Source organism: Homo sapiens, chromosome 5 (genome assembly GCF_000001405.40).
Source record: "Homo sapiens chromosome 5, GRCh38.p14 Primary Assembly".
Lineage (NCBI taxonomy): Eukaryota > Metazoa > Chordata > Mammalia > Primates > Hominidae > Homo > Homo sapiens.
In genome coordinates, this window is record NC_000005.10 from 10,080,890 (window position 1) to 10,103,956 (window position 23,067).

Sequence of the window (23,067 nt, forward strand, 5' to 3'; positions counted from 1 at the left end):
GGAAAGCTCATTCTGTAATGGAAAGAAGCTGGAATTCACATTGAGTTCCAGTCCACCATATCCACCAGAGTTGAGATGGAAGACGCAAGTAAAGTCCCCCATAAGATCCTAAAAGCAGTCACAAAGCTACTGTCCAACAAATCTCAACTGAGTTATAAGACTTCTCCAGGTCGACTTTTATCACTTTACCTCAAGGAAGACATAACATTTTGGGATCAATATTTTATAGATTTGCATATGCTATAAAAGTCTTAGCTCTTATATACTCCCTGTACAATGTTTAAGTGATTTTCCATAAGATGAAGAGGTAATAAAATAGAAGGAAGTCTGTGACTTTATTCACTCACTTATACATTTACCAGCCTGCTATAAATATTAGACCCAGGTGCTGGACCAGACATGGAGATGCCAAGGAGAAGGAGTCATGGGTTAAGATCACTCGCTTTAGCAGGAATCATTTCCAGTACAAGTCCCATTTCTGCCACTTACCAGCTATGCTACCTTGGGCAAGTTCTTAATCTGTTCTATGACTCAGTTTATCCACTTATCAGGTGAGAATAATGATACACTCTTTAGGAGGCTGTCACCCAAGGGTTAACTGAGATAATATGTATTACTTTTAGTATAGTGATTTGACCATATATTAGTCAGGGTTTGCAGAGAAACAGAACCAATAGACTATGTGTATAAATATATATACAGAGAGATTTATTTTAAAGAACTAGATAATACAATTGTGGGAGCTGGCTAGTCCAACATCTGCAGGATAGGGTGGGAGGCTGGAGACCCAGGAAAGAGCTGATCTTGCAGCTTGAGTCGAAGGCAGTCTGGTGACAGATTCCCTCCTCCTCTGGGAGGTCTGTCTTTTCTCAAGATCTTCAGCTGATTGGATGAAGCTCATCCACATTATGGAGGGCAATCTGCTTTAATCTAGGCCTACTGATTTAAACGTTAATCGCATCCAAAAAACAGCTTTACCGCAACATCCAGACTTATTTGATCACATATCTGGGTACCATGGCCCAGTCAAGTTGACACAGAAAATTAACCTTCAGAGTCCATTAGGAGCATTCAGAAAATGATGCTGTTGTGATTAAGCTATAATCAAAGACTTGAAGGAGTTTGCATCTAGTGGTAAAGATAGATAATCACAGTGCCATGTGATCAGTTCTATGAAACAGATGTTTGGGAGACCATGGGTACAGGCAACAGGGTGTATGTAGAAAAAAGAATGCCAGGGAGGGCTCTGAGAGGTAGGAAAGAAGGCTTATGTTGCAGGCTCTGGGATGGCCTCTGCCGATGCAGATGTCTCAAGAGTAAGAAGAAAATCCTATGTGGACACCAGAAAGACCAGAGATGTCCAGTTCCCCCTCACCAGGCCTAAGCACGTTAGGGTTCAGTGAAAATATCTTCCTTAAATTGGGAGGGTCCCCCACCGGTCTAGGTGGGGGTGAGTATTCAAGGTAGCCACAGGCAGCAGAGGTGGGGATGAAGAGTCAGAGTCATGGTCAGGAGGTGGTGAGGTCATGGTGGGGAAAAAAAGCAGGGCATTAAGCCCAAGGGAAAGAACAGACACCAGACCTCAAGCTTCCAGTCAGGAGATGGGACAGTCAACATGGAAAATAAGGAGTGAGGACAGGAGAAGGGAAAGCTTAGAATTCAACTGCAAACGCAAGCTTGTGCAAAACACTGCCCCGCCCCCACTCCTCCGCATTTACAGCCATGGCATTTATAGCCAGGTAGCACTAGAGCAGCAGTGGACTATAAGGGACCATGTGGAAAGGGACAAGTGGAATCACAAGCCCCTGGTGCCAACAAATGATTGACCATTGTTGGTACTAGAGCTTTGACCCCTGAAAGAATCCATTTGCCTGTGCACCATGGAGGCACAAAGTCCAGAAGCCAACGGCCTTGTCATGACGCTTTCCCAAAGAGCCATCCTTTCCTAGCCGCCTCGACCCACAACACCCAAGGGGTACAGATGTCCTCATCTCCAGTCATTTACCCCAGCCTGGTCCATTCCCAGTGAGGTTAAGGTTCACATTTAAGCCAAAATTTCCAGATGCATTTCTTATATCCTTGAGCCGTAAAAATTGAGTGCTTGGTCCAGGTTACATCCTGGGTGCTCAGAATGTTTTGCTGCCAACCATTTGGCCCAAGTCTCAAAGGCGTTCCTCCAGAGTGGAGATGCTAATAGGTTTTGAGCGAGTGAAAAACATTTGACAACAAACTGAAACTTGAACATATTGATATCTCCATCACTGACAGCAAGAGCCGGAGAGAGACAAGCGGGATTCATCTTGATTGGCGTGTGGCAACAATAGTGCATAGCCTCCAAGTTCTCCCGGAGCCATGTGTGCTGCCAATTGTAAAAGGGAGAAGGATGACAAGTGGACGGAGTCCTTTGAGATTGTTTTCCAACATAAACTGATAAAAAGGCCCACTGGGCATTGATGTTAGAAAGACTCAAGATAGTTAAACCTAAAAAAAGAGTCTAATGCAAAATCTTTTACCTGACGTCTCCTATATTTTTTACCCTTCTGCAAATTTTAGGTGGGTACGTGAATCATTTAAAGCCATTTCTGTCTTTTCTAAACTTCCAATTATACCACCCACAGCACCAAATGGAAGGGGAATTGTAATCAATTTTTTAACTAAATTCATGTAAAATAAAATTAGACCCAAAGGATCTGAATAACAAAGCCATTTTATTCAACCAAGAAATCAGATTTTGACAGCCAAGGTTTTTTTTTTAAAATCGAATCTATTTTCCAGAGAATTTATTCAAAATGCTCACCAGATACCACCAGGCACTGTAACAGAACTACAACTAACCCACTGTTCTCATATGGGTCATATTTGTAATGGGAAATAACACATTAGATAGATGGTGACATGGGTTATTCTCCCAGCGTGGGCACCAAGGAGCTGTACATCCTGAGAAAGTCACTTCATCTCTAAGCTTTGTTTCTGTACCTGTGAAATAAGGTGCTAAAGTTGATGCAACGATGACCCAATTCTTTACCCCTCTTATATGCTCACCCTTTAACAAGTAACTTACTAATGCCCCCCACTCTGACCCTAGGCTCAGCCACATGATTTCGGTCAATAGAATACAACAGAAACAATGCCCCAGTTCCCAGCCTAGGCTGAGTCCTTGCAGGTTTCTACTTACTTTCTTGAGCCTCTGCCATTGCCATGGGAAAGACAACCCTGGTCCAGCTCCCTGAGTCCTGAGAAGGAAGAGAGACAGGTAGAGCAAAGATGAGTCTCCCAGCTGAGACTCTCCAGCCAAATCCAGTCAACTCTCATTCCACATCAGCAAATGCAGCAGAGATCAGTAGAGCCACCCAGCTAAGCCATCCATGAAAATAAATAACTCAGGATGGATTGTTATACAACAAAACCTAAGTTGCACAGGACAATACAACCCACTCCAACTATCTTACTAGCGTGTTGGGAAGATCAACTGCAAATATATATATATATAATGCGTATATATATGTATATATATGCATACATATATACATATATGTATACATATATATACATACATATATGTATACATATATATGTGTATATATACACATACATACACTCGAAAGACTGCAAATCTGCCTCCCAGCCATAAGGAAGACCACATGCTCTGTAACCCATATGCCCTATTCCTGCATCTTGAGCGGTCTTTCCAGGTGGACCCTCCATTCTGAAATTAACTTCCTTGGAGGCTCAATTTCTATATGACACCTTATAAATATATTCTGCCTTTCTGCTCAGTCCCTTTAGATTCTGGTAGACAGCATGCTTCACTCATTCTTCTAACCCACCCCATCTCTTTCCCAACCAAAAAAAAGAAATTTTTTAACATCTCCCTTGGCTTCATGTTCTGCGGAATCTAGGGCCAGACAGTCCTCCTCCTCCTGAATCCACCTGCTTCCTGTACCCTCATCGGTTATTCTCCAGTCATGACTTAATCTGGGAGGGGACTCAAACATATGGTATATCATTATTACAAAAGGTCACAGCAAAATTAACTTTATGCCAGAGAAACTGTTTATTCTACTAATTGTCACTTAGATGGCTTATTGAATATTGGGTAGCTTAGTAAACAAACCCTTTCCCAAGGCTACTTAAATGTATGCTTCTTCTTGCTTTGTGCTGGGTTAAATGGAACCATAGTTAGCAGAGTAGAGAGTTGCTTTCCTTCAGGGTGGGCTCAGAACATGCCTGGAATGCTACCTTCCCTGGCACCCAATTTGGAGACAGGTAAGGGAAGGCTAACGGCTGTCCTGGGGTAAATGCTGTGCCCTTCATTGGTAAATTGTAGGGGTCCATGCCCTGACTAGCGAGGGACACCTGAAGGAAAACTGGCACCCAAGGCACAGCCACCAGCATAGAAACCAAGAAGGTTGTTGTGGGAAGGAGCAGCATATCCTACCACAGTTACTGACCACAGCCTGACCTGCTGCCAACTGAAGCACGGGAGAAACGGAATATCCAAGCAGCACTGGCACAGCTGATTATCTCTCCTTACTCAGCCTGTCTCCAGGATACAGGAGTGGAGCTGTGGTCAATGGACAGCTTGAAAAATAGATGATCTCTGTCCTAGATCCTTGGCTACGGGGCCAAATACTTATTACCCCAAGAGGTAATACGCAAGCCCACCTAAAATAAGCCAAGCAATACCTGTGAAAGACCATTGGTACCTGTGGGTGTCATTAGATAATATGGAGACTAGGAACATGAACCCTGAAGTAGCAAAAAAGGAATCAAAAGGAACAGCTGACAAAGGAACAAAGACCCAGGACCCACAAGAAAGGCAGAATTTCTTCCAGTAAAGGAAAATACTCTAAGTGCTTTTAAGACTTTTTAATTATCAGTTCACAGGCATCTGCTGAATGCCTGTTACAGGCCCATCACAAAGGCTAGGAGGAATACAAAGAAAATCAAGATATACTATCTGCCTCAGAAGATTATAAAACTGGTGTAAAATTTCTTACTAAAGCACAAGAAACAATAGCTAAGAATAACACAACGCAATATAATTATACGTCAGTTGTTCTCAATTTCCTGTGCAATTGAGAATCACTTAGGAGGCTTGTTAAATGTGTATTATATATATTTTATATATATATATATGAGATATATATATACGTGAAACATATATATGTCATATATATGTGTGTGTGTGTGTGTATATATATATATTACTGAAGCCAAAGTGCACCAAACCTCATACATCAGGATCTGCAGGAGCTGCCTAGGGACCACGATGCACACCTGGTTAGGGGACCCTGGGATGCACACAGTGCTCTGAGAATTCAGAGGAGATGGAGTCAATGGAACATCCTGGACTACTTGGAAACAGCAGCTACTCTAGACATCAGTGCTGCTCCCACAGGGAGAAGACTGACTCCCAAATCCAGCAAGGAAATGCTGGATCATGGGCCTGGCACACTAGGTGTTACATTTTAAGATAATGCTAAAATTACTTAACTCCTGTTTTCCAAGGCTGGCCTTGAGACTTTCAGAAGATGATGTTCACGCAATTTGCCCATGGCTCAAAGTAACAAGGTGTCAGATCACTAACAAGTGATCTGAAAGCTCCCTATCAGCTCAGAAAGAACGACATTCCTAAAAAGCATTCAACTATTTCAAACTATTGCTTAAGGCTACCTGGTGGACTTTGTGCTGTCAAAGATCCCTTCCACCTCAAATAGAAAGCTCCCCAAAATACATTTCTCTTCTGGTAAGTTATTATCAATAGGTGGGACCTGAGCAGTCTGATATCTTTCTGGCCTTGTATGAGTCACTGTGCAGAAGTACAGATTAAACTAAATGATGAAAGCTTTTATCAGATGATAAATGGGATCTCAAATAAGTACTCAGACAATACAACTGTACAATGGAAAATCCATACTTTAGTGTCCTAAAAGAGGCATGGCACTCTGCTTCAAATGTATTTTTAAAATAGGCATTCACCAAACAAATGCTGAGTGTCCCCTGTGCTTAGCACAGTATCAGGTGCAGGGGACACAGTGGAGAGCAACCAGACAAGGTCTTGCCCTGTGGTCCAGCGACCTAGTAAATGGAACCCCACCCAAGTTCTGAATGAGGAGGGAGGAGTGCCACTGGAAAGATGATGTGAAAATCATCCCAGAAACTGAGATCTTTCAAATCCAGGACACCTCCATCATTTCACTGTCTATGCCATCTTCCTTTTTCCTCCCAAATTACTTTCCAGAATAGTTGCCCTCACCCGCACCTCTCGCCAGCAGGACACAAAGAGTTCCCCATGTTCAAGTCAATGCTGATGTTTTCCAACTTCAAAATGTCTGACAGTTTGTTGATTATCTTGACTTAATTGGCATGTCTCTGATTGCTAATGAGATTGAGCATCTTTCCATATCCTGACAAGCATTTGGCTTTCCCCCCTGCAAATTTCCTACTCATGTCCTTTGCCTGTAGTTCTATTGGTTTCCTGCCTTTTTATATTATAGAAGCTAATCCTTTCTTGGTTGTGTGACTTACAAATACCTTCTCCCAGGGTATTAGTGCTGGCTGTGGTGTCCAGGGTAGGTACTCACTGCCCCTACCGGAAGGAGGATTACACACACACCTGACCCATTGATGAGAAGCTTGACCATGTGACTTGCTTTGGTCATTAAAATGTAAGCGGAAGTGATGTGATTTTTTTTTTTTAAGGAAAAGTGTTAAGGGCCATTTTATAAAACCACCGTGTAATTTAATTCAGAGAGAGCCTGCTCTTTCAGCCTGAATCCTGGAATAGAGACCCATGGAGCAGACCCATGGCCAGGCCACAGCCACCTCAGCAGAACTCAGCCTTTATTACCATAAGCCATGGAAATTTTGGTGTTTTTTGTTACCACAGAGAAGCTGAACAATTGAAAGACATACTGGAAGTGAGGTGCCAACACTAATAAAACACATGATAGGATTTAGGGCTGAGTAGCAGGTGGCAAGAAAATTGATATTAAAGGCTTTTTATGTAGTGGTGAAGCATTTGAAAAAAACTATTGCCTGTGATAACTAGAAGGCAAAAAATGTAACTAATAAACTTCTGGTTTCAGCAAAGAAATGGGAAAACAGACTGTGGATAACATTGGATATTTGCTAATGGCTGCATTTGACAAGACGCAGTAAGAAAGCAATAAGCTCACAAAAGAAATGGCCATTTTGCAAGAGGAATTCAAAGAGAGTTCAGAGAGGCCATAAATTTCAGGACTTGCAGGGTTAGAAAATGGAACTGTTTCTCATCTCCAATTGGCAAAAGATAAAACTGAGAAGACCTTGAGCTATGAAGTCCAATTAAGATTCATCCTTGGGGCAAAGATAAAGTCAAGTAGCCTTGTCAGCCCATTGTTAGAGCTCTAATTGGGCAGAAAGCGGGAGAGGAGATGAAGTATTGTAAGTGAACTAACTCCGCCATTCAGAAAAGGTGGAAATATTTGATGTCTTAAAATTAGTAATTCCATAAATAGCAACATAAGCATAGTATTCAGAAATATGGAGGTGTAATTGTTTCCCACTGCTGTGTAACAAATACCACAAACTTAGCTGCTTAAAGCAACATGTGCTTACTACCTCACAGTTTCCATGGTCAGGGACTTGGCATGGGTTAACTGGCTCTTTGACTCAGGATCACATCAGGCTAAATCGAGGGGTCAGCCAGGCCTGTGATCCCATCTGACACTTGGGGTCTTCTTCCAAATTCACTTCTTGTTGGCAAAATATAGTTCTTTTACAGTGGTAGAACTGAGGCCCTCAGCTCCCAGGAACTACCCACCACTCCCTGTCATGTGGTCCTCTCCACAAAATGGCATTTTGTTTTCTAAAGACTGGTAGAGAGGATCTCTGTTGCTTTGAATATCTCTGGCTTCCCCTGTCTCTTATCTCTAGACCTTCTTTTTTTTTTTTTTTTTTGAGACAGAGTCTTACTCTGTTGCCCAGGCTGGAGTGCAGTGGCATGATCTCGGCTCACTGCAACCTCTGTCCCCCAGGTTCAAGTGACTCTCATGCCTCAGCCCCCCAAGTAGCTGGGATTACAGGCACGTGCCACCACGCCCAGCTAATTTTTGTATTTTTAGTAGAGACAGGGTTTCACCATGGTGGCCAGGCTAGTCTTGAACTTCTGGCCTGAAGCAATCCACCCTCCTTGGCCCCCCAAAGTGCTGGGATTACAGGCGTGAGCCACCACACCAAATCTAGAGCCTCTAGACCCTGTTTGAAAGGGCTCATCTGATTAGGTCAGGCCCACTCAGGACAACCTCTTTCAATTAACTTAAAGTCAACTGATTAGGAACCTTAATTACCTCTGCAAAATCCCTTTACCTTTTCTATATAATGTAACTTCATCACAAAAGTGATATCCCAATCACATTGGCAAGTCCCACCCACACTCAAAGAGAGGGGATTAGACAGGCATGTCCACCATGTAGAGGAAATCCTGGGGCCATCTTAGAATTCTGTCTACCATGGAGGCAGTCACAGAATAAAAATTTTAAAGTGTTTTCCTCTGAGGAGTGAAACTGGTAAAGGGGAGAGGCAGAAGAAGAGCATAATCTGTACGATTTGGTTTTTAAAACCACCTACAAATATCATCTTGATAGAAATTTATCTTAATTTTAATAAGGTATTTTATATAGACCACAAAAAATAGCATGAGCAAAGAAATAAAAATGCACTCAACTTTAGAAAGCAATCAAAACAAATTTTCCCCTACAAAACAGACTAGCTCCATGAGGCAAGTAAAAACTTTTTTTAAATTTCTGATTCATATTTCAAAAACAGGAAAAGATACATTCTTTAATCAAATGAAATGATTCTACATCAGAAATATTGGTTTCAGATTTAAAATTACTTGCAATAAATTTAAAATGCAACACAGTTAAGAACAGAAGATTAGACACTGTGATGAACCAAATAAGTCATTTAGAAGATTGGTGTGGGAAATTATAAAACTCAGGATATCAGATAAAGAGATAAGATTTACCTTAAATCTACATATAAAGGAATCTATTGAATGAAAGAACAAAACAAAGTGCAAAATATAATATGTTATATCGCATGGCAAAGGTGAATTGGTGTTGCAGATGCAATTAAGGTTGCTACCCAGCTGACTTCAAAACAGAGAAATTAACCTGGATTATCCTGGTGGGCCAAATGTAATCGCAAAAGTCCTTAAAAGCAGAAGAGGGAGGCAGAAGAGGGAGGCAGAAGAGGAAAATCCAGAGAGAAGCATCAGAGAAATGCAGAGAGCAAAAGGAACTCAGCCTGATTTTTCTGGCTTTGAAGATAGAGGAAGGGGCCATGAAGCAGGGAATGTGAGCAGCATCTAGAAGCTGGAAAAAGCAATGAGACAGCTCCTCTAGAGCCTCTGGAAAGGAATGCAGCCCTTCCAAGACCTTGACCTTAACCCACGAAGATCTGTGTTGAACTCTAATGGCCAGAATTGTAAAATAATAAGTTTGCATTGTTTTAAGCCACTAAGCTTATGATAATTGATCACAGCAGCAATAGAAAATATAAGGGTTAAACATATTCAGGTGATTGACAGTTTTATATTTAAAGGCAAAGACAAAGTCTTACACCCATTTACTTGGGGAAAAATAATGACGCCTACAAATGAAAAGTGAAATCAGGCTGGCATTGGATTTATCTCCCATAGCACTCATGGCAGAGGAAAATGAAATGTTATCCGGTTATGGGGAAGGAGAAGTGAATTATGATCCAAAAATATTAAGTCCAAACCATTTGAAGTTAGAAGCAACAAAAAGACACTCTCAGGCATGCAGGAAAAGTATAAAGATTACCTATATATTTTCTCAGATTTAAACAAATACACAGAGGGAATAATCCAGTCATCCAATAAGTAAGTAAAAATGCATTCACTTATTCAACAAATATTTATTGGGAACCTCTTTCTCAAAAAATAGTATTCAGGGATACAGCAGCAGAGATGTCAACTGTCTCAGTAAGATCACACAGGTAAAATCTCAGTTCTCATGGAGTTTATATGCTAGGTGGGAGAGACAATCTATTAACAGGCAAACGAATAAACAAATAATACAATATCAGTTTGTGATAACTGCTAAAAAAAAAAAGTGAAACAAGACAAGAGTGACAAGCCTGGAGGAAAAATATTTTTGATAGGAGTTTCTTAGAGTGTCTTTCAATGACATGATTCTTAAGCAGAGAACTTAAGCCACTGAGGAAATAAGCCATATAAAATGTAGAATAAAAAAATTCCAGTGAAGCAACAAAATCTTTGAGGCTGAAACAAGCTTACTATGTTTAATGGAGAGCAAAATGTTCTATACGACTGCTTGGGCTTCCTCACTGTATGACTGCTAGGTTCTAAGACCAAGCATCCCAAGAGAACCATGTGGACACCATATTGCCTTTTATAGCCTAACCTTGAAATTACATAGTCTTCTGCTGTTGTCATGAATCCACCCACATTTAAGGGGGAGGGAACATACACCCAGTTCTGCATAGGAGAAGTGTCAAGGACCTACTGTAAAAAAATCATGAGGAACAGGAGCTAATTTTGGCCATTTGGGGAAAATACAGTTCGCCACAGCATACCGAAACAAAATGACATATCAAGGCCAAAAAATAAAGCAATGAGCAAAGACATCACAGAAAACTATAATTAAAAAAATAGTAAAAGAGATGATATGGTTGAAATAGAATACATGAAAAAATTTATAATTGGACAAGGAAAGTCCATTTATATCAATGAAAGGCAAACCTTGCAATAAAATTGTTGGTTTTTGCTGTATAACCAACCATGCCAAAATTTAGTAGCTTAAACAATAGCCATTTATTTAGCTCAGTATTCTATGGGTTGGCAATTTGAGTTGAGCTCAACTGGGCAGTCGTCATCACCTCAGCTGGGCTCGTTCTTCATGTGTGATCAGCTGCCATGACTCTGCAACTGTGGTTGGATGACTAGGCCAACAGGGCCAGTGGTGGAAATGTGGCCACATGGATCTCATCATCCAGCCTGCTGGCCAGTGCTTGCCTACCCAGCCGCTGCAGTAGGAGTCCCAAGAGCAATGAAAGAGCAAGCTCCACTAACAGGTGCTTTTCAAGCCTATGCTTCTATCGTGTCTGCACCCATGAATGTTTACAAGTTAAGTAACTTAGCATCAAAATAAACCACTAAAGCTAACAAAAGCACAAGAAGAAACTGATAAAAATCACAATGATAGCTTCATCTTGAGTTCTTAATCTTTAGACAATAAGCAAATAAAGAATTATGGTTCAAACAAATAATTAAGTCAACAAATATCCATTTTTTTCTGTTAAGAATATGCATCATTTTTCAACGTCCTTGGAACATTTACAAAAGTTGATCATACCTTTAGGCCTTAAAAGAAAATTTTTAAAGGATGTTAGGGGGTTTAGAAAAAAAGAAAATCTTAATAAATCTAAAAAAATTGAAGTTACATAGGCCATATTCTGTCTAAATGCAATAAAACTAGAAATTAACAAAATTATAAGCAAAAAAATTCAAATCATTAGGAAATGAAAATGCCTTCCTAGATATCTTTTGGGTCCTAATTATGGATGATTTAGAAAATAAAATAATCACAAAATTATATGTCAAAAACTATGAAATGCTTTATGTTAGGGATCAGCAAACTTTTCCAGTAAAGGAAGTACATATTTTAGACTTGTGGACCATAAGAACTGTCACACTACCCAATTCATACTGTGATTATGTAGAAGTACACATACACAATACACAACACATAAAGGAATGGGTGTAGATGTGTTCCAATAAAACTTTATTTATCAAAACAGGCAGCAGGCTGGATTTGACCCATAGTCTTGGTTTTCCAACCTCTACTTATATAATATTAATCAAGTGTTAAGCACTTACAAATTTCTAACTTTACATGTGTTTATTACTAAAAAAGGAATAAAAATCAATGAAATATTAATGGACTCTAGAAGCTAGAAAAAAGTCATCAGTAGCAAAATAAAGAAAGCAAGAATTAAAAAATAATGAAGTAAAACATAAATTAATAAAATAAAAGATAGAAAAATAATGACATTAATAAATAACTCCGATATTTGAAAATACCAATAAAATAAACAAAATCAAAACAAAGCAAATCAAGAAACATGAGGGGAAAAGCACAAATACATATCATTCAGTATTGGAAAGGAATAGCAATGACAGATGCAGAGAATTTTTAAAATCATAAGCTATCAACTAACACTAAAAACAACTGTATTGTAATAAATGTTTAACTCTCAATGAAGTAGTTAATTGTCTAGACATGTCCTATTGACTAAAATTGCCTCCTAAAAAGGGAGCAAATCTGAACAGATGAAGCAAGCATAAGAAAATGGCTAGGGGGAGAACTCAGCACAAGATGGCCAAATAGGAACAGCTCTGGTCTGCAGCTCCCAGCGAGACCAACGCAGAAGGCGGGTGATTTCTGCATTTCCAACTGAGGTACCCAGTTCATCTCATTCGGACTGGTTAGACAGTGGGTGCAGCCCATGGAGGGCAAGCAGACGCAGGGCAGGGTGTCACCTCACCCAGGAAGTGCAAGGGGTCAGGGAACTCCCTACCCTAGCCAAGGGAAGCCACGAAGGACTGTGCAGTGAGGGACGGTGCTATCTAGCCCAGATACTACACTTTTCCCACAGTTTTTGCAACCAGCAGACCAGAAGACTCCCTCAGGTGCCTACACCACCAGGGCCCTGGGTTTCAAGCACAAAACTGGGCGGTCATTTGGGCAGACACCAAGCTAGCTGCAGGAGTTCCTTTTCACACCCCAGTGGCACCTGGAACCCCAGCGAGACAGAACTGTTCACTCCTGTGGAAAGGAAGCTGAAGCCAAGGAGCCAAGTGGTCTTACTCAGCAGGTCCCACCCCCACAGAGACCAGCAAGCTAAGACCAACTGGAATGTAACTCTCGCTGCCAGCACAGCAGTCTAAAGTTGACCTGGGACCACCATTACTGAGGCTTGAGTAGGCGGTTTCACCCTCACAGTGTAAACAAATCCACCCACCCAGAAGGACTTGAACTCAGCTCTGGGCCCAGAGGACCTAATAGACATCTACAGAACTCTCCAACCCAAATCAACAGAATATACATTCTTCTCAGCACCACATAGCATTTATTCTAAAATTGACCACATAATTGGAAGTAAAACACTCCTCAGCAAATGTAAAAGAACAGAAATCATAACAATCAATGTAATCAAATTAGAACTCAGAATTAAGAAACTCACTCAAAACCACACGACTACATGGAAACTGAACAACCTGCTCCTGAATGACTACTGGGTACATAACAAAATTAAGGCAGAAATAAATAAGTTCTTTGAAACCAATGAGAACAAAGACACAATGTACCAGAGTCTCTGGGACACAGCTAAAGCAGTGTTTAGAGGGAAAATTATAGCACTAAATGCCCACATGAGAAAGCGGGAAAGATCTAAAATTGACACCCAAACATCACAATTAAAAGAACTAGAGAAGCATGAGCAAACAAATTCGAAAGCTAGCAGAAGGCAAGAAATAACTAAGATCAGAGCAGAACTGAAGAGACACGAAAACCCTTCAAAAAAATCAATAAATCCGGTTTTTTGAAAAGATTAACAAAATAGATAGACCACTAGCCAGACTGATAAAGAAGAAAAGAGAGAAGAATCAAATAGACACAATAAAAAATTGATAAAGAGGATATCATCACTACACCAGAGTAATACAAACTACCATCAGAGAATACTATAAATACCTCTATGCAAATAAACCAGAAAATCTAGAAGAAATGGATAAATTCCTGGACACATACACCCTCCCAAGACTAAACCGGGAAGAAATCAAATCCCTGAATAGACCAATAACAAGTTCTGAAATTGAGGCAGTAATTCATAGCCTACCAACCAATAAAAGCCCAGGACTAGAGGGATTCACAGCCAAATTATACCAGAGGTACAAAGAAGAGCTGGTACCATTCCTTCTGAAACTATTCCAAACAATAGAAAAAGAGGGACTCGTCCCTAACTCATTTTATGAGGCCAGCATCATCCTGATACCAAAACCTGGCAGAGACACAACAAAAAAGGAAAATTTCAGGCCAATATCCCTGATGAACATCAATGCGAAAGTCCTCAATAAAATACTGGCAAACTGAATCCAGCAGCACATCAAAAATCTTATCCACCACAATCAAGTTGGCTTCATCCCTGGGATGCAAGGCTGGTTCAACATACGCACATCAATAAACATAATCCATCACCTAAACAGAACCAACTACAAAAACCACATGATTACCTCAGTAGATGCAGAAAAGGCCTTCAATAAAATTCAACACCTCTTCATGCTAAAAAACACTCAATAAACTGGGTATTGATGGAACGTATCTCAAAATAATAAGAGCTATTTATGACAAACCCACAGCCAATATCATACTGAATGGGCAAAAGCTGGAAGCATTCCCTGTGCAAACCAGCACAAGACAAGGATGCCCTCTCTCACCATTCCTATTCAACATAGTATCGGAAGTTCTGGCCAGGGCAATCAGGCAAGAGAAAGAAATAAAGGGCGTTCAAATAGGAAGAGAGGAAGTCAAATTATTTCTGTTTGCAGATGACATGATTGTATATTTAGAAAACCCCATCGTCTCACCCCAAAAACTCCTTATGCTGATAAGGAACTTCAGCCAAGTCTCAGCATACAAAATCAATGTGCAAAAATCACGAGCATTCCTATACACCAATAATAGATAAACAGAGAGCCAAATTGTGAGTGAACGCCCATTCATAATTGTTACAAAGAGGATAAAATACCTAGGAATCCAACTTACAAGGGTTGTGAAGGAACTCTTCAAGGAGAACTACAAACCACTACTCAGGGAAATAAGAGAGGACACAAGCAAATGGAAAAACATTCCATGCTCATGGACAGGAAGAATCAATATCATGAAAATGGCCATATTGCCCAAAGTAATATATAGACTCAATGCTATTCCTATCAAGCTACCATTGACTTTCTTCACAGAATTAGAAAAAACTACCTTAAATTTCATATGGAACCAAAAAAGAGCCCATATAGCCAAGAAAACCCTAAGCAAAAAGAACAAAGCTGGAGGCATCACACTACCTGACTTCAAACTATACTACAAGGCTACAGTAACAAAACCAGCATGGTACTGGTACCAAAACAGAGATATCAACCAATGGAACAGAACTGATGCCTCAGAAATAACACTACACATCTACAACCATCTAATCTTTGACAAACCTGACAAAAACAAGCAATGGGGGAAAGGATTCCCTATTTAATAAATGGTGTTGGGAAAACTGGCTAGCCATATGCAGAAAACTGAAACTGGACCCCTTCCTTACACCTTACACAAAAATTAACTCAAGATGGAGTAAAGACTTAAACGTAAGACCTAAAACCATAAAAACCCTAGAAGAAAATCTAGGCAATAACATTCAGGACATAGGCATTGGCAAAGACTTCATGACTAAAACACCAAAGCAATGGCAACAAAAGTCAAAATTGACAAATGGGATCTATTTAAACTAAACAGTTTTTGCACAGCAAAAGAAACTATCATCAAAGTGAACAGGCAACCTACAGAATGGGAGAAAAATTTTGCAATCTACCCATCTGACAAAGGGCTAATATCCAGAATTTACAAAGAACTTAAATAAATTTACAAGAAAAAAACAACCCCATCAAAAAGTGGGTGAAGGATATGAACAGACACTTCTCTAAAGAAGATATTTATGTGGCCAACAAACATATAAAAAAACTCATCATCACTGGTCATTTGAGAAATGCAAATCAAAACCACAATGAGATACCATCTCATGCCAGTTAAAATGGCAATCATGAAAAAGTCAGGAACCAACAGATGATGTGGAGAAACAGGAATGCTTTTACACTTTTGGTGAGAGTGTAAATTAGTTCAACCACTGTGGAAGACAGTGTGGTGATTCCTCAAGGATCTAGAACCAGAAATATCATGACCCAGGAACCCCATTACAGGGTATACAACCAAAGGATTATAAATCATTCTACTATAAAGACACATGCACACTTATGTTTATTGCAACACTGTTTACAATAGCAAAGACTTGGAACCAACTCAAATGCCCATCAATGATAGACTGGATAAAGAAAATATGGCACATATACACCATGGAATACTATGCAGCCATAAAAAAGAATTAGTTCATGTCCTTTACAGGGACATGGATGAAGCTGGAAACCATCATTCTCAGAAAACTAACAAAGGAACAAAAAACCAAACACCACATGTTCTCACTCATAAGTGGGAGTTAAACAATGAGAATACATGGACAGAGGGAGGGGAACATCACACACCAGGGCCTGTCGGGGGGTGGGGGGCAAGGGGAGGGATAGCATTAGGAGAAATACCTGATGTACGTGAGGGGTTGTTGGGTGCAGCAAACCACCATGGCACATGTATAAACCTGTAACAAACCTGCACATTTTGCATATGTATCTCAGAACTTACAGTATAATTTTAAAAATATGAAAAAGAAAAAACAAAAAAGAAAAAAAGAGAATGACTAACATTTGTTCAGCGCTTGCAAGTATCAGGTATTCTCTGGCTAACTGAATACCTTGTATTGTCACAATCTGTCCAACAACCTTATGCTGTGGGCCTATTATTATGCCTATTTGTTCAGATAAGAACACAGATATTTATAAAGATTAAGAAGCTTCCTGTAATCTAGTAACTGAAGTTGGCACACTTTGACCCAAGCAGTCTAATGACTCTGGAACCTTTATGGCTTAGCATTGCAGAAGAAATTGAACAGGGTATCAAAGAGCAACCACCAAAATAGATAGTGGGACAACATGATATCCCCAGTGAGCTCCCTCAAACTCTTGAGCAACTGATAATTCCTATGTAATTTAAATTATTTCAGGGGAAAAAAAAAAGATAAAAAGAAGAAAGTGTTCCATTTTATTTTAAGAAGCTTAAGCCATCTAAAATTAAAACTTGACAAAGATAACTGCAAACTTATCTCACAAATATAGACGCAAAAATCTTCATTATATCAAATCTAGAAATATATTAAAATAATAACATGTCCTGAACATGCCAGTTTATAATAGGAATGTATAGATGGTTTATAGTGAGAATTAAATTCTGCACATAATTCATTATATTAACAGATCAAGGGAAGAAAATTATTCTCCTCAATAAATGTTAATGTAATCTGCTTTCTGATTTTTTAAAAACTTTAGAAAAATAGGAATAGACCAATAATTCTTTAACATGTTAGATATCTTTTAACCAACACTCAGCATAATGTTTACCATTAAAATATTGGAACAGTATTTCCCAAACTATATTTTGTTGACGATAAGCTGCAAAAGGTAGAAATTCTTGTTCTATCTCTTGAAGGAATGTGTTTCCATAAATACAAAAAAAATACTACATATTGTATTCTCATCTTAGAAATTCAAAATATACCTCACTGGATTAAGTCTAGAAGAATAGCAAAAATAGCAAGTAAATTCTGAAAAAGAAGACAAGAAAAACATATTATAAATCCACAGTGTTAAAATACTGTGGTTATAGTAACTGAAGGAATAGACATAATAAAACATTGCAAAAAAAGTAAATATGAGATTTTAAAATACAATAAATAGTCCATTTCAAAACAAGGAACAGAATTCAGATTATTCCATAAAAGATAATAAGACAGCTAGAAAAAAAATATATATATATATATATCTCAGACCTCAAGTTCATATTTTACTAAAAAGGTAAAGTTTTCATGGCCCAAAGAGTTCTATATCAAAAATGAAATTATAAAGATGGTTTAAAAAACATAGATGGACTTCAGGTATGAACATGGCTATCGAAGTCTATATATCTCTCTCCTCCTAGAAATCATACAAGCAACAAAAAGCATTACCAAAAAATGCAGAAGCTTCATTCTCAGTGAAACTTGGAAAAAAGGATAATTGAAAGACTTTAAATCACAGGTAATGACTGAGAAATGCAGCTGAAATAGAATAGAAACCACATAGAAGGAAATAAAAAGAAAAGTGCAAAGAGTAAAGAAAAGCCATAATGCTATCAGGACTCAAAAAATGCTGCACAAATCCATCTCCTTAAGCAAGAGCCACACTTTAGTATAATAGGTATGTCCCTTGTCTACAACAGTGGTTGTGACATATAGGAGATGAGCAGAGCCAGTGGCAAAAAAAAAACCTCTTTGATCAGGTTTGGTTGAAAGAAGCAGAGAAAGGTCTACATGAAGAAATTGTTTTAAGCCCTATTCAATGGAAGCAGTCTGTCTCTGAAACCATTCCCAAAAAGGGACCTCTAAGCTAGTGGAGGAAAATATGATCATTCAACAATGACCAATAAAATGAATTAGCACAGCATTGATATAAGGAAGATCTAGTGAATAAGGGGTAAAAGAGCCACAAAATTTATCATTAGGTAAGAACACTTGCCAGAAAAATGTTGCCACAGAGCAGATAAAAATTTTAACTAAATATTTTATCATGAATTTTAATTGATTAAATGAGGCCATTATCTTTGTAAAGGAAGAACAGAAATACAGGAACCTAGAAAAGATGTGATTATTCAACAAAAGAGATAAAACATGAGTTAATGATATATACTCCAAGAAAGAATAAATGAATAAATCGTGGAAGAAGCAAAAATGAGTCTAGATACTCTGGAAACACACTAAGAAACCTAGAGAATATTAAGGACAACCATGAACATCATAAAACAAAATTCAAGAAAGCATTTCTATTAAAGAAAAAATGTAGATCTAGAACACAGGTAAAGGAGGTGCAATGTATATATAATTGGAGCCCCTGAAGAAACCCAAACAATGCAGTGAAGCAAATATTTAATGACATTATTCATGAACCTTCAATGAAATAAAAAAGAATATAATCTGCATGATTGAAAGCACGCACTGTGGACCAGGATTTTTAAAAAAAGACCTAGAACAGTTAACATGAAGACTCAATCATGGTAGACTTTCCAGACTTTTTTTTTTTTTTTTTTTTTTTTGAGACAGAGTCTCGCTTAGTCACCCCGGCTGGAGTGCAGTGGTGCGATCTCAGCTCACTGCAAGCTCCGCCTCCTGGGTTCACACCATTCTCCTGCCTCAGCCTCCCGAGTAGCTGGGACTACAGGCACCCGCCACCATGCCTGGCTAATTTTTTGTATTTTTAGAAGAGACGGGGTTTCACCACATTAGCCGGGATGGTCTTGATCTCCTGACCTCGTGATCTGCCCACCTCGGCCTCCCAAACAGCTGGGAATACTGGCATGAGCCACTGTGCCTGGCCTCCAGACTTTAAAGAAAAATATTCTGAACATAGAAATCAATCTGGCTCCAGATTTATCCACTGTTAAACACCAAAAGACAGTGACACAGCATCTAAAAGATTCTCCTGGAAAAGTATGATCTGTCCTTCCAGTGTAAAGGCTCTGGTTATTTTTAATTGCAAGAAACTAGGGAATATTGGTATCATGAGTGCTTCTTAAGAAGCCACTAGAGGATAAACTTTAGCCAACCAGAAGATAATTAGGAAAACCACAAGCAGAAAATGCAGTGGTGAGCGCTGGATGGGTTTAATTGTGAATTAAGAGCAAAACAAATGTGCGGACTAGATGATAGAGTAGAAGTAAATGTTATATGCCATGACATTGTAAAAATGGTATGAAAATAAAACTTAGGAGAGGAAGGGAATGAGAAGGTGAAGGGCAGAGTAAGTTTGCCAGTTACCTCACTTATGAGACAACAGGCGTCATTCACAGCTGACAAATCAAGTGGTAGAGGTATAAACACATCTCCCTTTGGAAGATCAACTCTAAGACCAACAGGCATTATTGACTAAAACTGGGTGGAGAGCCAGGGGAGAAAGGAGCAAATGCATTAACTTCATCATTGTTTTATTAAGAGGAACAAATACACATTGTGTCAAAAATAGGGGATCAAGGGTATGTTTTTTTCTAGATGGGGTCTCACTGTCACCCAGGTTGGAGTGCAGTGGCATGATCTCGGCTCACTGCAACCTTCGCCTCCCAGGCTCAAGGGATCCTCCCACCTCAGCCTCTTGAGAAGCTAGGACCACAGGTGCAGGCCACCAAGCCCAGCTAATTTTTTGTGTTTTTTGTAGAGACAGGATTTCGCCATGTTACCCAGGCTGGTCTCAAACTTCTGAGCTCAGGTGATTCACCCCTCTTGGCCTCTTAAAGTGGATATTTATTTATTTATTTATTTATTTATTTAGAGATAGAGTCTCGCTCTGTCGCCCAGGCTGGAGTGCAATGGCACAATCTTGGCTCACTGCAACCTCCGCCTTCTGGGTTTAAGCGATTCTCCTACCTCAGCCTCCCTAGTAGCTGGGACTACAGGCACGCACCACCTCACCCAGCTAATTTTTGTATTTTTAGTAGAGACAGGGTTTCACCATGTTAGCCAGGCTGGTCTCAAACTCCTGACCTCAGGTGATCCACTCTCCTTGGCCTCCCAAAATGCTGAGATTACAGGCGTGAGCCACCGTGCCCGGCCAGCATATTTATTTTAAGTGAAATTATAAAAGTAACCATTACCATAAAAATACAAACCTTTCTAAACTTCAGAAAAAGTTTCAAAGGAAACAGACCACCTGGTGACTGACTTTATTTGAAGACATACAAATTAAAAAATATCAAGTAAAAGAATATGGAAAAAGTAAGATCAAAAGCATCTACCACTAATGAAGGTCAATGAGCTTCTTCAACTCCTTTCAACTTATCTTCGATGAATGAAAGGATGGAAGAAAGGGAGGAAAGAAGGGCTAATGGGAGGGAGGAGAGGGGAGACTGGATGACAAAGCAAAACCCAGCTGTAGGCTGTGCGTGGCAGCCATTCCAAAAACAGAATAATTCACAAGGATTTGTAAAAGATTTCAAAACTCAAATACTAAGAAAAAAGAGCAGAGGTTGTGATATTAACATCACTCAAGACAGACTGCAGATGACAAGGCATTGAAAAAAAAACAAAAATGCCCCTTTATTAGCTTAAATGGTGCAATTTCACAACAAATATATAAAGCTCTTAATATCTGTGGACCTCCCTCTGTCCTTGATATGTAAAATGGACAAAAAATAAATTGCAGAGTACCTAAATAGCATAATTAATAAAGGAAGTCTGGTTTATAGATACAGAAATACATACATGCATACATTCATACACACACCCTGAAAATTTAAAAAAACGCCTTCAGCTCAAGTGCCAATGAAAGTGGATAAAAATTGGACATGGTTAGGCCTGTCAGGCCTGTGAGCCCAAGCTAAACCATCATATCCCCTGTGACCTGCATGAATACATCCAGATGGCCTGAAGCAAGTGAAGAATCACAAAAGAAGTGAAAATGGCCGGTTCCTGCCTTAACTGATGACATTCCACCATTGTGATTTGTTTCCGCCCCACGTTAACTGAGCAATTAACCTTGTGAAGTTCCTTCTCCTGGCTCAGAAGCTCCCCCACTGAGCACCTTGTGACCCCCGCCCCTGCCAACAAGAGAACAACCCCCTTTGACTGTAATGTTCCACTACCCACCCAAATCCTACAAAACGGCCCCACCCCATCTCCCTTCGCTGACTCTCTTTTCGGACTCAGCCCACCTGCACCCAGGTGAAATAAACAGCCTTGTTGCTCACACAAAGCCTGTTTGGTGGTCTCTTCACACGGATGCGCGTGACAAGGCCAAAAACAAAATCTCCAGAAAGTAAAAACAGGGAAGAAAATTTTCTATGGTCACGATGCTACAAAAGTAGAAACTGAAAATCAAATTGAAATACCAAAAGGCCCTTCCACCTGGGAGGGAAAAACACACACACACGCTTTTAAACAATCCTGACTCAAAGGGACTAAACAGAACTGCAGAATGCCCAGAAAACCAGAATGAAGTGGTCACATGTTAAGAATCTAGAGGAAAAAGCTAAGCAATGCTCAGCATAAAACACTTAAATTCTATTGATTAAGAAGAGAAGAAAAACAAAGAATGAATTGAAACAAATGAATTAAGCATCCAACTCAAAAAGGTTAGGAAGAGAAGAGCAGAGCAAACAAAAGAAAAGCTAAATGGAGAATTATTTTAAAAGCAGAAATGAGCAAGTTAGAAGTCAGAAAAACAGTGGAAAATAAATCTGAAGGTTTTTTTCTTTTGGTTGAATAACTTTTTATAGTAGTGTCTGCATTTAAATACCTGCACAATGTCAAGTGGTCATGCAGTAGGGAGGAGAAGGAGAATTCTGAATAGAGGGAATTGACTATTTTAGGCGGAAGTTCCCGGGGCCTAACCAGCGGGGGCCAGGAGGACAAAGAGAGGACTGAATTGCTTTGTATAATAAAGTGAGAGGGCTCTGTGGGGAGCCTGAGACTGAGGGGTAAGGGTTCTAAAGAGGAAAGAACGCAGGAAATATGAGAAGTGGAGAAAGAGAGAGAGCAACATAAAGGGAGGTTGAGGAAGATGAAGTGCCTGGGCGGGATCCAGTCTCTCCTGCACTTTGCGTCCACTCTGTGGTTTACATGTCCGTTACACTTGGAGTGCGTCTTCAGTAACTCCCTATCACAGGAAAGTCAATCGTGTTCTTGCATGTCTGAAAATGTCTTTAAGTGTCCTGCAAACTTGATGATATTTTAGGCAAAGAATTCTAGTGTCATTCTTTTTTTTTTTTTTTTTTTTTGAGACAGAGTCTCACACTGTCACCCCAGGCTGGAGTGCAATGGCGCAATCTTGGCTCACTGCAACCACCGCCTCCTGGGCTCAAGCGATTCTCCTGCCCCAGCCTCCCGAGTAGCTGGGATCACAGACGCCCACCACCATGCCCGGCTAATTTTTTGTATTTTTAGTAGAGACAGGGTTTCACTATGTTGGCCAGGCCAGTCTCAAACTCCTGACCTCATGATCCGCCCGCTTCTGCCTCCCAAAGTGTTGGGATTATAGGCGTGAGCCACCACGCCCGGCCTCTAGTGTAATTCTAGTGTGAAATCATTTTC

General features: G+C 39.7%; 1 long non-coding RNA gene across 1 annotated transcript, besides 2 other annotated features; it reads right to left on the reverse strand.

Moving 5' to 3' along the window:
* Positions 1–685: 685 nt before the first annotated feature.
* LOC124900939 (uncharacterized) lies at positions 686–3,316 on the reverse strand. Its single transcript, XR_007058689.1, has 2 exons — positions 3,176–3,316; positions 686–2,359 (listed from the first exon to the last, which is right to left on the reverse strand). It is a non-coding gene; the product is annotated as an uncharacterized LOC124900939 (long non-coding RNA).
* Positions 20,714–21,616: an enhancer, noted in NCBI's record as "OCT4-NANOG-H3K27ac-H3K4me1 hESC enhancer chr5:10101715-10102617 (GRCh37/hg19 assembly coordinates)". NCBI's record gives its function as "activates a minimal SCP1, AML or CMV promoter by ChIP-STARR-seq in naive and primed H9 embryonic stem cells {active_cell/tissue: H9 hESC(naive and primed)}" and the evidence as "EXISTENCE:reporter gene assay evidence [ECO:0000049][PMID:30033119]".
* Positions 21,617–22,519: an enhancer, noted in NCBI's record as "OCT4-NANOG-H3K27ac-H3K4me1 hESC enhancer chr5:10102618-10103520 (GRCh37/hg19 assembly coordinates)". NCBI's record gives its function as "activates a minimal SCP1, AML or CMV promoter by ChIP-STARR-seq in primed H9 embryonic stem cells {active_cell/tissue: H9 hESC(primed)}" and the evidence as "EXISTENCE:reporter gene assay evidence [ECO:0000049][PMID:30033119]".